At 39.1% G+C, this 15322-nt stretch overlaps 1 pseudogene across 2 annotated transcripts in view; it reads right to left on the reverse strand.

Annotated features, from left to right (window-relative positions):
* PDE4DIPP2 (PDE4DIP pseudogene 2) overlaps positions 1 to 15322 on the reverse strand; it is a 195809-nt pseudogene that overhangs the window by 52876 nt on the left and 127611 nt on the right. For both annotated transcript variants that reach the window (NR_144517.1, NR_144516.1), the window contains 4 exons: positions 13808 to 13899; positions 9375 to 9586; positions 7793 to 7881; positions 1391 to 1623 (listed from right to left, as the gene is read on the reverse strand). The product of NR_144517.1 is annotated as a PDE4DIP pseudogene 2, transcript variant 2 (transcript). The remainder of the gene's footprint in view (positions 1 to 1390; positions 1624 to 7792; positions 7882 to 9374; positions 9587 to 13807; positions 13900 to 15322) is intronic.

Consider the following 15322-nt stretch of genomic DNA (forward strand, 5'->3'; position numbering starts at 1 on the left):
AATCCACAGGGATAGCTATAGATGGTTTGATTGTAGGTTCAACAATAGAATCAAAAGAGATGTACTGTTCTTACCCATGACAACTCAATTAAGTTTACACATACAAAAATTTAAGTAAAATAATATGCTTTAAGTAGAACTTAAGGAAAAAGTTATTATGATAATTCAGAGCAAAAGAATCAGCACTTAGAACAATCACAAGAATTTTTTAAAAATTGTTTGACAAAGTATGTAGTATAGAAGCAAGGTTTAGATGTTAGAAATTGGGAGCCACAGACTATTATGCAACCTTGAGCAAGTCACTTGAAACTTTCTAGGCCTGAGTTTCCTCAGCTATGAAACAACGACATGAGGCTAGATGCCTGGGCCCTTTTCAAAGTGCTAACATTATTCAGGGAAATTTAAGTGGTAAGTAACATGCAGGGAAAAAACAGGGCATGATTTAGAAGTCATACAGCTGTACTTTAAACAGGCAGTGATGATTATAGTCCTGGGAGTGAATGAATAAATGGATCAGCCCTACAGTATCAGCATGTTCTCCAAGGAGCTTTTGACAAAAAGCCATCAAAGACAGAGTGGCCAATCTAACCAATCAATGAGCTACCTGCTATTTTTGTAAAATTACTAAAGCAGCAGAGATGATTAAAATTGATACTCTATGATTGAAGGACTTATGAGTGAGAGCTGAGAGGAGAGGGAGGGGCCTCTACACAAACCCTCCAGCCGGGTGCGGTGGCTCACTCCTGTAATCCCAGCACTTTGGGAGGCTGAGGCGGGGGGATCACGAGTTCAGGAGATTGAGACCATCCTGGCTAACATGGTGAAACCCCGTCTCTACTAAAAATACAAAAAGAAAAAATTAGACGGGCGTGGTGGCGGGCTCCCATAGTCCCAGCTACTCGGCAGGCTGAGGCAGGAGAATGGCATGAACCCGAGAGGCGGAGCTTGCAGTCAGTGAGCCAAGATCTTGCCACTGCACTCCAGCCTGGGCGACAGAGCGAGATTCTATCTCAACGAAAAAAAAAAAAAAAATTCCTCCTCCTTCGTGAACTGTTCTGGTTCTGTATACAGCAGTGAGACATATTAGGTAGCAGGGATTCCTTATACGTTTTGGTCAATTAAAAACAGCAATACTGGTCATGTAACAAGGAGGTTTCCACCATGACTGTCATATGTATGACTGGCAGATGCACAATAATAGTGGGCACTGTTATACTGAATTAAGACCAGGATTATTTGAATAACAGAAAGTGATTACCATTAGCCAATATTACTTACTTTTATCTAAAGAATTTGTAGAAATATTAATGCATGGAGCCTGGGATAGGCACCCCTTGGCTGTGGTGCCTCATGACCCGCAAGCTCCCCTTCCCTGGGAAGAATGTTCTACCTGATGTGGGACACTGAGGAGAATCCTGCTTCCTCAATTTGAGCCTTTAGCTCCTTCAGTTCCTCCTCAGCTTTCCTCTTCTCTTCTAAGTGCTGGTGGATCTCAGCCCTCAGGTGGAGCATTTCTTCCTGAAGACACCTGTTACTGTCCCCTCCCATCGGAGAAGGAGGGGAAAAAGATGGGTTCTGGGTCTCCACAGTTGCCAGACTTTTCTCCAAAGCCACCTTGACAAGCTAAAAGAAAATCATGGTTTGAAGAAGTTAGGCCATTAAAGAGGACCCAAGAGAAACATGAGATTGCAAAGGCAGTTTTCAATGAGAACAAAAACAAACAAAAAAAGCAGATCTAAAATAAACTCCCTAACCAGAACCTCCTTAGTCAGGCATAAGGGCCCTGGGGACTGGTTTGGGTGGGAAGGACACACAAAATGAGCAGGAGGAATTTCCCCATGGAGAAGAGGAGAATCCAGAGATGGTGAGGGAGAAAAGCACGTAAGAAATTAAAACAAATGCAAACAAACGAGGTTGAAACAGGACTGGAGGGTGTGAATACGGTGATTCTTTCTCTTCCTGAGGAGACAGAGCCCTGCGAGTTTTCTCACAAGTCAGGAAGCTTCATCAGCTCTGCAACACTTGAGTCCTGGATGGCGGGAGATGATGGCTTAAGATATCAGGGCGCAAAGCCTAAGGCCCTGCCTGTAACTCCAACTCCCTCAAGGACAGCTGAGAGGGAGGACTCAGGGCACTGGGGAAACAGTCGGCAGACACAGTTACAGAATTAGAATAAGGTGGAGCGACAGGGAAGACAACACCAACTATTTCATTGGCAGCAGAAGAATCACACTCCGCAGCTACTGGGAGATGGAGATGAAGCCATCCTGCCAAGCAGCCAACCTCACTTTTTGGTTATTATCTTTGTGCTGATGCTGCCAGACAAACTCTCTCTACAAATCTCAGCATGTGGAAGAAACAGAGGCAGGAACAACTGCCCAGCACCTTTCTATTTCTTGAGGACACTCTTGAAGTTATTCATCAATGTTTTAATTAAAGCAGATCTTATGGCCTTTGCTCAAATGGGAATTTGTTAACTTTTAGACTTTGTTATTGTTCATTTTGGGCTTATCTTTGGTCTTTTCCCACGCTCTTAAAAGTGTAGAAATCAAAATCTGAGTATGATAATCTACTTAGCATATGACTAATTACTTTAGTACAAGGAGTTCCTGCCTGTCTGTCCAATATTAATCTTAATATGTCCCAATGTCACATTGGCTTCTTTTTCTTCTCAGTGGCAGCATTTGGAGCTTTTACTTAACTTTGGGTCAATTTTGGCCTCTGAATTTTCCACCCCTCCCCTACAGCTGTTGCTGAGTCATGTTGTTTTCTTTTATCTCTACAAATATTGTGACTTGTAATTGTCACTTATAAATTCATTCTGGCTATACTGAATCATTCCCCAATTATCCGAGTCATCCAAATATTTGATGTGCATTTCCACAAATCATGTACTGGCCCCCACTACAAGTGATTGGGGATAACTTGTAGAATTAATTATATGCTTTATATCTCCATTCAGGTCACCAATACATTGAAGAGAGCAGGGCCCAGAACAGCTTATATGGATCAACGACTGACAGAGCTGCTGGGGTTGGTGCAAAGCCACTGACTTTTGCTATTACCCATAACAAAGTATGTTCAAATGTAGGTCACAGGTTTGTGGTAGGGTCGATTCACAGTATGCATGTGCAATGGTGTTCAGTAGCATAGCAGTTGAGGTTGTGAAGACATGCGCACCCAGGTCAAAGAAGAAAGATCCTTAGACAAAGCCACTCAAGTCCCAGGCACCCAATCTTACTTGGACTTTGTGAGCCTGAGATTTGGGAGGCTCCTGGGAATGTCTGTCTCTAAGATTCTGCTGGCAGGCTTAATCAGGCTGGTGGCCATCTCCATATGTGCCCCCCAGCATTTGTGACAAAATAAAGGAAGGGGGACCAAATAAAACCACTTCTGAAAGCTTACGATCCCATCCCTTATTTAAACTATGTGATGTTGTCATTCTATATAAACTCTTTCCGAGTAACTTAACTAAAACACACTTTGCCATTAGTCTTGAGTGTGGGCACAGCATTATTCTTTTCTAGGCCTTAAGGGTTCCTTCTGCTTAAAAATAATGTCTAACTTTAATGAAGTTTACCCATTATTAAAGTGCCTTCTGGATATATGTTATCTTGTTCTATTGGTTTCAATACACCTATTTTCTTTAAAAAGAAAAAATTATGAACCATGAATGTTAACACCAGAAAAACCTTAAGGTACATCTGATCTAATTTCCCACTTTAAAGTGAGAAAATCAAACATTGCCTAGGGATCTCATTTTTCCCCAGGCTAATTTGGGTTTTCATATTTCCATCTCAAAGTGGACTTTCGTTGGCTAACTTTAAGGTTTTTTTTTTTTTTACATATATACAACTTTTATTTTTTATTTCTTTTTTTATTTTTTATTTTTTTATTTTATTATTATTATACTTTAAGTTTTAGGGTACATGTGCATAATGTGCAGCACAGCATGGCACATGTATACATATGTAACTTTAAGTTTTAAATGTAAATGCCTGAAAAGTAACTCAGGATCTAGCCTTTTCATTAGTTTTGATCATGTATGAAAGCAAGTATTTATTTCCCCCAAATGAAACCCCAGGGCTTCCAGTATTTGTAGTGATAGTGTGAATCCATTAGGTCTATTTTTAATTATATCTGTCTTATTGGTTTTTTTTTCCACATTTCCTAACTCACTTGTGATATTGCTTCATATAATTCAACTTTTTGTGTGCTGGGTTCCCATCTGCCCCACAAAGGCCTCTGTGCAAATCTGATATCTTGTTTGAATGACATTGTTTTGCTTTTACCCTATTGCTTCGTATCTGTCCCAATGTTAAGTCAGTTCTCAACATTAAGGCATTAAAAATTAGCTTTTCTCAAATGCTCAGCATCACTAATCATTAGGGAAATGCAAATTACAACCATAATGAATATCATCTCACACCTGTTGGAGTGGCATTTATCAAAAAGGTGAATGATATGTTAGAGATAATGCAGAGGAAACGGAACACAGACATTGTGAATAGGTATGTAAATTAGTACAGCTGGTGTGGAAAACAGTATGGAGTTTCCTCAAAAACCTAAAAATAGAATCTACCCTATGATCCAGTAATCCCATTTCTGGGTATATATCCAAGGGAACTGAAATGAATATGTTAAAGGTATATCTGCACTCTCATGTTCATTACAGCATTATTCATAATTTATGTTAAGATGTAGAGCCAACCTAGGTCCATCAGTAGATAAAAGGGTAAAGAAAATGTGGCAGATAATACACAATGGAATACTATTTAACCTTAAAATGTTGGGGGAGAGCTCCTGTCATTTGTGACAACATGAATGAATCTGAAGGTCATTATGCTTAGTGAAATAAGCCAGGCACACATACCACATAGGCTCACCTATATGTGGAATCTAATGAAGTTGAACTCATAGAAGCAAAGAGTAGAATGGTGGTTACTAGAGGCTGGTGGAGTGGGGAGGGAGAGTAGGGGGAATTGTTGATCAAAAGTATTGACAAAAAGAATAGGTCTTAAGATATATTGCATAGCAGGGTGACTATAGCCAATAAAATGTATATTTCAAAATAAGAGTAAATTTTCAATGTTTCACCATCAAAAATGGTAGGTAGGCAAGTTTATGAATATGTAATTAGCTTGGTTTAATCATTCCATATTGTGTGTATATATATATATATAATCATATACCCCATAAATGTATACAATTACGATTTGTCAATCAAAAATAACTATTTTTTTAAAATAGCTTTTTTCAAGTTTATCACACTTTGTCTACTAACGTCTGTTCTTCATATTTGAATCTTGATTTTTTTTCTTTAAGAGGTAGGGGTCTCATTATGTTGCCCAGGCTGGCCCTGAACTCCTGGGCTCAAGAGATTCTCTTGCCTCAGCCTCCTGAGTAGCTGCAACTATAGATGCACACTACCTGGGCCTGAATCTTTATTCTTGATTAACTTTTTCTCCATTACAAAACTTCACATAAAAAATGCAATGGTTGGTTACTCTAGTTTCTTTCACAGCAATTTCATAGGTATTTATTATAGATCTTACATCTGCTTGAGAATAGAATTTTGTGGGAGATAATCTAGGGAAAATTACTATCATGGCCAGACTTGAGGCTTCCTGAGGTGGCTGAGTCCAAAACATAAGGAGCAAGCAACTTGTATTGGCCAAAAGGTGATTCTCACCTTGGAAGAAAGACAAGGTGGGATGTGTCTGTTAGGAAAAGCATATGAATGCTTGGAGTAGGAAGGGAACTTGGTGTCAGGCAAAAATTTACCTTCCAAGGACATAACAAGGAGAAGCTCAAAATCTACCTTTAAGGGACCATTTTCCTGGAAACAAGCAAACAAATTTTGAGAATCTGGACACAAAACAGTTATGGCAAAGTAAGCTTTATTTAATTGGTAGCAGGAGAGTCACAACTTCAAACTCCAGAAAAGATGAAGTAAATTTGCAATGATTTCATACACCAAGATTCCTCCTACCCAAAGCTGAAGATATATTTTCAAGGAAAGGTGATGGAAAGAAAAATGGTGCTCGCCCAAGAGATTCTTCCATCCAGCAGGCATATACTTTGTCTATCATGAGTCAAGCCCTGATCCAAAGGCTTGTTAACTCATAATTACACTAAGCATCTCTCCTATGCCAAGTAATGTGGCAAGTATTGTGAGGGAAATACAAATGCCCTAATGTAAAAAGTTCATTCCAGTGTAGGCTGACCTTCTCAAAATGGGGTCTGGTCAGATTCTCCATGCTAGGCTACAGGAAAGAAGGCTGAAGAAGCAAATTTACAAATCAGTTTGCCTACAATTGAGAATTAGAGCAAATGACTTGCAATACCAGGAGTACTTCAGACCATATCAATCAGAAACTTTCTTCATATCTGTGTCTCCTGTTCATTTATTCTGAAGTTAATCCTGTCCCACAGTCATTATAACCATCAGTGACCAGCCAACCTCCCAATCTAGCTGTCTTAGAGTAGACATTTGTTCATCCTGCAGGTCCCTCTCTCTCACCCAAGATCCTCAATGAAATCAGAGAGTGAGGACAGAGGGATCTGTCTGGAGGGACAGAGATGTATATAATTAAAGTCACAACCATCGGTAAGGAGGACTCAGGAGAAGCTGTTCAAGCAAAAGGAAAAGTGGAGCTCATGCAAGCACTCAAGGGAGAAGGGAAGGTCGGGTACAGCTATAGCAACAAGAAGGTGATCCTATTATAAGAAGGTGATCCTACTACTACAAAGAAACTGTTGAGAATATGACGTATCCCAGACAACTACTCATGTCCCCAAGTGCCAAATCCCAAAAGATTTGAGGATGCTTATTTGGGCTCTTCTTATTGGTTGATTCGATGTCTCTTCTTTTTCTTATGCAGAAGACATACAGGCAGACCCAGAAAGCCTCATTTCTTGTTTAATTTTCCTAATAGCCCCAAGAAAGCTATTACTGGAAAGTCCAGCTGCTTGTGCAGGATATCTACCAATGATTCACTTTCTCCTTAAGAATCATAGGCACAGTCCATTTAGGAGATGAGATTGCTAAATGGCATGGACAAAGTGGAGACATTATAGGAGTTCCGGTGAGTACTTGTGAGATCACTATTGGTGACTTAATCTCTGAAGTCCAGATTATTCACTCTTGTAACATGCTAGTTACATCTTCACTGATGGTGGGTGGAAGCAATGTTTCAGCCTCAAGTTCTGAGGTTTGACAGGGGATTGCTGTTGAAGTACCATCTGCTGATCACTGAGTCACCATGACCTCAGTGGTTTGTCAGGTTGCATAAGGTTCTCTTTGTATAATGAGATTTCACTGAGAAAGATTCTTGCTTTGGAAGCATTCCAATCTTCTTGGAGTTTCTTCCCAAGCAGTTCCTCCGCCCTGCCACCTCCCCGAGCAGCCCTTCGATGACTCCCTGTCTTCTGTGGTGCATTTCAGTTACAAAAAGCCCAAGGGGAATGTGTCCATCGTCTTGCAAGTAAAAATGCTTCTGAAGCTATAGCTACAGAGAATAAATAGGGGCAAAGGTGGGTAGGAGGGGGAAGGAAGCAGAAGAAAGAGATACAATACAAACCAAAGGGTGGATTGGAGAGAAAAATGGAGTGAAGATATGGGTTGGAAAGGCAGCTGGGAAGTTCAAGGAGAACAGGTAGATGACTGAGAAGTAGTTTATGTAAAAAGATATCTTCTCACTAAGTCCGCAAGGGCTGCAGGAGACTATCAGACCTCAGAAGGGCTGTGTGCTGTCCACCCTGGAAGTCCCAGACCCTGACACTGACTTACTTGCTGGTGACTATGGTGTGCAGCCTCCTCCTCAATACTGTCAGTGAACTCAGTGCTTGTATCTTCGGTGTCATCCCCTGCAGCTGCACCTGGAAACAAGTCCAGAAAAGAAAAGTGATTCCCTTCACAGATGGCTTCCAGACAGCAGGTTAAATTATACTCTTTTTGCCCGCTGACTCTGATTTCTTCCTTTCTCCATATACATGGGGAAGAAATTCTCCCTAGCCAGCAGGGCTGGAAAGAAAAATAGAACTTTTTGTATCACAGACACTTTCTTACTCATACTCAAGCCTGAGCCTCACAACATAAGCTGACTTTGCCTGCACAGACCCATTTCTAAGGAGCCGACTGTCAGATGCACTGGTTACCCCACTCGAATGTCAAGAAAGCCTGAATTATTCCCCACTGCCTGGCTACATAAAAACTTTCTCTTCCATAATATGAGTCCAATATGCTTAACCCTTTCCCCACCACTGAGTGCCTGGAGATTAGAGCTGCCCTGAATCTCTCAGAGGTATCTATTGTTGGGATCAGTTGTGCATAGGGTGACAATCTCTCTGAGGAACTTCCCTCTGGGGGTCCTGTGTCCTAGTAAGGTTCAGGTCTAGTCAAGATTCAAGACACCAAAGGATTCAGTTGTTCCCTAATTTCTTCCTCTAACCTCCCTTCCTCCTCACCTCTCTCAAACTCTTATTCTATGCAGACACCCTTTGTCTGAAGGGTTTCTTGCACTGCTTTATCCCCGTGGGATTTAACCCATCCTTTCATTCTCCAGAGATGGACACAGCCACTCTAGGGCCCAAACATCTACACCTTGCTCTAAGGTACAAGTAGCTGCAGTTTGTGGTATGGGCAAAGGTCTAAGGCAGCACTGACCAAGAGGACTTTCTGCAATGACAGCAATGTTCTGTGCCAGTGTTGCCCAGTACAGTGGACACAGTCATATATGGCTATTGAGCTTTGAAATGTGGGTAGTATGGCTCACATTTCAAAGCATTGAATCTTAAATTTTATTTAAATTTACTTATATTTAAATGACTGCATGTGGCTAGTGGCTACCCTATTGGACAGCACAAATCTAGGGTGTGTCTTCCTCCTTATATTGATTAAAATTAAGACTGTTCATACATTTTAAGACCAAGAGCTATGTTTTATATACTGTATTTTTCAGGAAGTGTAGAAATTTATTATGGTTAATTTGTCAAAGAAAATTTACTGTGACACTCACTGTGTCTTATAGAACCTCCCCAACTTAAGAATCTTGAAATCTTGTTCTGATCCTAGCCTCGGCAACCAACCAGTTACAACTCCACTTCTGACCACTGATTAACCTGGACCTCTAAGAGATTACGTGGTGAGTCCAAGGTTACACAACTAGCCCTCACTAGAGCTGCGCCAGTAAGTCAAGACTCTGGACTCTTAGACAGAAGCCACTCACTTTTCCTTCTGGTGACAAATCAGATCTTTATCTTTGCTTCTTCCTCCAAGACCAAAGAACCTTCTGTTGAGTTCAGACATCCAGGCATGAAAGGCTCTGCTTGAATCATGAGCATTCACTACCCAATACAGATAAGGTGCTTACCTTATCTCCGTAAGGAATTCGACGGAGACAAATAAATGCTCATCTCATCTCGACACTCTGCCACACAGGGGTTTTGTTTCTTCCCCTTCATTCTCTCTTTTTTAAGCTAGCTCACAGTCTTCTTCCATTATGGCAGCTTTAAGGGTTGCTCAGCCTTTTACCAATTTGAATTAAAATGCTGAAACTTTTTCTCCCATGTTTGAGGGGTAAAGCTAAAAAATTTATAGAAAATATGGGAATAAAAGAGTAAGTTATCTCATACAAGGTCCATACAAGACATTAGACATCTTTTACCATTTTCCATTTTTTTAAATAAATGAGAGAACTTCTCTTGTGTGATACCCTTTTCTAAACTTTTACTGCACAACGAAACACTGTCTTTAGAACTAACTTGGAATATTTTGAATTTCTAATTTAAGGTACCTATGATTTTATATTGATGACTCGTCTGCTTATTTTTTGATAAAATATAAAATAGCCTGCCGCCTTTAGATTCTCTGGGAGCTAAGAATCTGTTCATTTAACTTGCTTCTTCGAGATTAAGTTTTACATGTTAGACTGGCAATTTTATAAAAAACTTTTATTTGAGGCTTCAATAAAAGTTCTCAACTTGTGGTTCTTGGAAGTTTCTAGGCTCTGAACAATACAAAATGGAGGTGATACCAAGATGTCCCTTATTTAGAAAAGTATTTTCTATCAGCTATCTAATTCTACAAAGTACACAAAAATAAACCTCTAAAACATAAGACCATAAAATCCTTGGGTGAAAATGTAAGCGTTATGCAAATATAAGGTATTCTTATCACTGAAGCAAAAATTCATACTTTTGTAGAACTTTTTAAATTGAGTATGGCATAATAATTAAGAACAAGAACTATGGAGATAGACTGTCTTGATTTGAATTGTGCTTTTATTGTTAGTTATGTCACTTCAGGCAAGTCATAACCTTTCCATAACTAAGTTTCTTCATTTAATAATTAGGGTTAAGAGTGTTACCCACTCCATACTGTTGTGAACTTTAAAGGGTTTGCTGATTTTGAAGTGCTTAGAACAGTGCTTGGTACACAGTGTGTACTCAATAAATACCATCCTTAAACAATATTATTATTGTTATTGTAAGTAAACTGAAGTAGTCCATGGGCTTATAAGTTGAAGACTGAGAAAGTTGAAGGCCACAGAACCTAAATAGCATCAGCAGAAGGAAGTTTTATACTTGATGGTAACAGGATTTATCCTGCTATCAATTTACTCTTGCTGGAGGTTGACAGAAGTAGGAGTGATTATTAACATAAACTGTAATCACTATGAGCCATTAGAAACGAAGAAACACCCAGAGCTGAATCTTACTAGCGATTCAGAAGATGGTTACCATTAGCAGAAGCAAGAAGAGATGAAGTTTTTATGTAAGTAAAACTTCACCTAACAGATGAAAAAATGATAGCATTAGGATATCTCCATTTTGCAACCCTTAATGAATTAAGGGATAAGGCATCAAACAGCAACAGCTGCTAACATCACGAGAGATCACCAAACATTACATGACTCCTGATGGAAGAACACGCCACCACCTGTGAAGAAATACTGCCAAAAGTTGGCACTACATGCCCTAAACTTTCAGTGTTCTCATCAGAAAATGACAAGTACTTGGTTATGACAAACTTCATTAAAAATCATAATAGGCCAGGCGTGGTAGCTCACACCTGTAATCCCAGCACTTTGGGAGGCTGAGGTGGGCGGATCATGAGGTCAGGAGTTCGAGACCAGCCTGACCAACATGGTGAAACCCATCTCTACTAAAAATACAAAAACTAGCCGAGCGTGGTGGTGTGTGTCTGTAATCCTAGCTACTCAGGAGGCTGAGGCAAGAGAATCGCTTGAACCCAGGAGGCAGAGGTTGCAATGAGCCAAGATCGTGCCACTGCACTCCAGCCTGGCAACAGAGCGAGACTCCATCTCAAAAAAAAAATCATGATAACAACCATAGCTGCTAACACTTACTATGCCCTGGGCTCTCTAATAAATGCTTTGTATAGATTTAATCCTTTTAACAAACCTAGTGATCTGGCTCCTGCCTACTTTTCCTACTTTAATATCTGCCATTTTACTGCTCACTCATGACTCTGTAGGCACATTAGACTTTTTCTGTTCCAGGAACACCAGACTTTCTCTTGACTTGGCCTTTACAACTACTCCCTTTGCCTGAAATATCTTTCTCAGGGCTGCCTCCTTTTCATCCTTAGGTCCCAGCTTACGTGTCATCTGCTCAGAGAAGCCTTCTTTGGCCACCCTATTTAAGATGGTCTCCATCCATGTTGCTTTCTATCATTTCCCTCATATCACTTACTATACTCTATAACTATAATGTTTATTTATTTATTGTCTGTATCTCCCCAGTAGAAATTAACTACACAGAGCCACAGACCTTACTGATTTCATTCACTACCTACCTCATCCCCAGCACTAGCCCAAGCTTAGAGAAGGTCCCCATATAGCTAATGAATGAATGAGTGAATCCTCACAACAATCCTATGAGATAACTACTCTTTTATTTATACATAAGGTGACTTCTTCTACTCTTCAACTTACAGACAAGGTGATCTGAGTCTGAGAGAAATTAAGGAACTTGTTCAAAAATCACAGGGCTGGCTAGTAAGTGGTAAATCCAGAACGTGAACTCAGGGAAGCTGACTCAGAGCCACTAGGCTATAATATCTTTCCTGTAGATACCACATATCCATACAATCTTTATGGTAAGACAAGTTATTTTAAATAAACCCTTTAAAGGAATTTAGCAATAGCTAAATATCACCCAAAATACCCATTCATAGGCATTACAATTTCATGATCCTGAAAACAGGACAGAACCAAAAAGTAACATTACTCTAGATTTGATAAATGTGAGAAAAACAGGAAGAGGATGTGGAAACTAAAATATCTGACATGAATAATCAGATAACGGCTAAGGTAGAACCACAAAAAGGAAGGGGGACTAGGGGATTTTTAAAACTGGTATTTCTTAAATGCCACACATTCTCATATCCTGAAAACTAATTGAGTCATAAAACATGAGTCTGTTTGTAAGCAGAAATATGACAATGAAATCAAAAGATAAAATATGATAATTCTGTCACAAATACAAACACAGGTTTTATATTATAGATCTAGCTATGGCAAAAGGTAGAAAAAAACTAAGGAGCTATTTGGACTAGCTAGCTAAACTGAATTTAGGAAGCCATGACATTGAGTGATCTTCTAAAAGAGATGCCAACATAGTAACAAACAAGCTTTTAGTTTCAGTCTGTAACTCTGCGCTGTGGTCCTAGTATTTCTTCAACATCATAGTTGAATATGCAACTAGCTGTGGAGGAAAGGCAGGGGGAAGGGAATCTCTAAGGCTGAAAGGCCTCTTCCAAAAAAAATTGATGAGAACTCTATGCTAGAGAGAGTTAAAGCATAAGGTGGGAAAAATGTGCTCTAGGAAATGAATCTTCTTAGGAAGTATGTGAAGTCACAAAAGGCTTGAGTTTGAATCATAGCTCTGGCATTTATTAGTTACATGACTATTCTCCACTCCCATTTTAAAAGAGAAATCAGTGTTTCAGCTTCTTCGTCTATAATAATTGGGCCGACACCACTTACTTTGTGTAGAGTTGTGAGCATTAGTGCTAATTTAAATACCTAGCACAGTACATTGCACATGAATACTTGATAAACACTGATTATACTCAAATTTCTCGTTTCATGTTTCTAAATCTAATTTCACGGATCTAATGTCATAACTCTAAGCAGCAATCACACAGCGCTTCCTTTTTTCACCAGTGCTTTACAATTATTATTATTATTGTTGTTGTTGTTGTTATTATCTTGGAGGCGGAGTTTTGCTCTTGTTGCCCAGGCTGGAGTGTGATGGCACGATCTCAGCTCACTGCAACCTCTGCCTCCCGGGTTCAAGTGATTCTCCTGCCTGAGGCTCCCGAGTAGCTGGGATTACAGGCGCCCGCCACTACACCTAGCTAATTTTTGTATTTTTAGTAAAGACAGGGTTTCATCATATTGGCCAGGCTGGTCTCGAACTCCTGTTCGAGCGGATCAAGTGATCCGCCCACCTCGGCCTCCCAAAGTGCTGTGATTACAGGCATGAGCCACTGCACCCGGCCTTTACAATTATTTTATTCCAGTTAGCAATGGGGAGAGAGGGTTACGTTTTTCCAGCATTTAATAAGTTTTAATGGTCCCAATCTAAAAACAGGAGCATCTTTTTGAGATAATGTATATATAAAATAACTTATATTTTTCTCCAAAAAGAAAAAAGTCATACCTGGCATTTGGACTCAGATATTATACATGGAGAATTATATGCTTTTAAATATAAACTATTTTGAAAGAAAAAAATAATAGGGATTTTGGAATTAAGACTTAACTAAAAAACTCACCTGACTTTCTCTTTCTTTTTTAGCCATGAGTTCAAGTTCCTCTTTGGCATTACTCAGTTCTTTTTCCAGCCCTGCAACTGTGTCCAAGTCTCCTAAAATGAAAATATAGCACTAGTTTTAATTGCTATTAACATAATGTGGTATCTGCTGCCTCCTTTGAGTAATTTACAGAGGACACATTCCAATAATAAGAAAAAAGAAAACATACACACAGGTTGTTCTTTATAGCATTATTTATAATAGCAAAATACTGCAATCATCCTAGATGCTATAAAGAAAAGATTGAATAAACTATAGTATATTCACAGATGGCACTATATACTGATGTAAAAAAAGAATAAGGATGATCTTTATGAATTTATATGGAGTGATTTTGAGATTTTAAGAATATGTTAAGTAAAAACAAGCTATGTGCTTAAGAATACATCTAAAGTAGTAGGTTTTCTATTAGGAAAAAGGGGAAATAAGAATGTACATATATACATTACATATACGCAGATGATTCATTTGCTTATTTTTGCAAAAAGATATACAGGAAGAATAACCCAGAAATGAAACTGATTACCTGCAGGAGATGAGTGGAAACAGGAGAGAAGGAACAGGAAAATATTGGACATCTGAGTATATCATTTTATATACTAGAGTTTTGAACTGTGTAAATGTTTAATTTTTAATGTGTAAGTCAGTTTGACAATGAATGAGAGAGAAAAGGTCTAAAATTGAATACTAATATAAATAAATAAATCTATATAGCAAATAGATAACAAAACCATCCAGAAGATAATAAAAAAATTAATCCAAATAATTTTTGAACTCACTACTACTCTAACTGAACACTGTCAGTGCAAAATATCCTAAGGATAAAAAGAATTACAAAAAAATCTTAAACATTACTTAATACATTTATTGTTGATGGTGGTATTTATGTAACAATTCCAAAAATACTTTTGCATATTATAGTATTCTGCAACTGTGTAAATATTTTGAAATATATTGATGCTATAAGTAACCAGGGCTCTCAAGGAGATACAAATATGAAATGAGGGAAAAAAGAACCTATATTGTTAAATTGGAATTAAGGAAATCAGTATCAAATCTTCACATGTATACAAATACACACATACATACTTAAAAATATTCATTGCTAGTTCTGTTCTCTTAAAAGGGCCTAGAAGCGGCTGGGCGCAGTGGCTCACATCTGTAATCTCAGTACTTTGGGAGGCCGAGGAGGGCGGATCACGAGGTCAGGAGATTGAGACCATCCTGGCTAACACGGTGAAACCCCGTCTCTACTAAAAATACAAAAAAATTAGCTGGGTGTGGTGGCTGGCGCTGTAGTCCCAGCTACTCGAGAGGTGAGCAGAGAGATCGTGCCACTGCACTCCCACCTGGGTGACAGAGCGAGACTCCGTCTCAAAAAAAAAAAAGGTCCTAGAAGCAAAAGGCATTCATGTAGCAATGAACACATCTTGTGTCCAGATCATAGTTTCTGAATGCCATTACCCACCAAAAGGA

Source organism: Homo sapiens, chromosome 1 (genome assembly GCF_000001405.40).
Source record: "Homo sapiens chromosome 1, GRCh38.p14 Primary Assembly".
In the NCBI taxonomy this organism is placed as follows: Eukaryota; Metazoa; Chordata; class Mammalia; order Primates; family Hominidae; genus Homo; species Homo sapiens.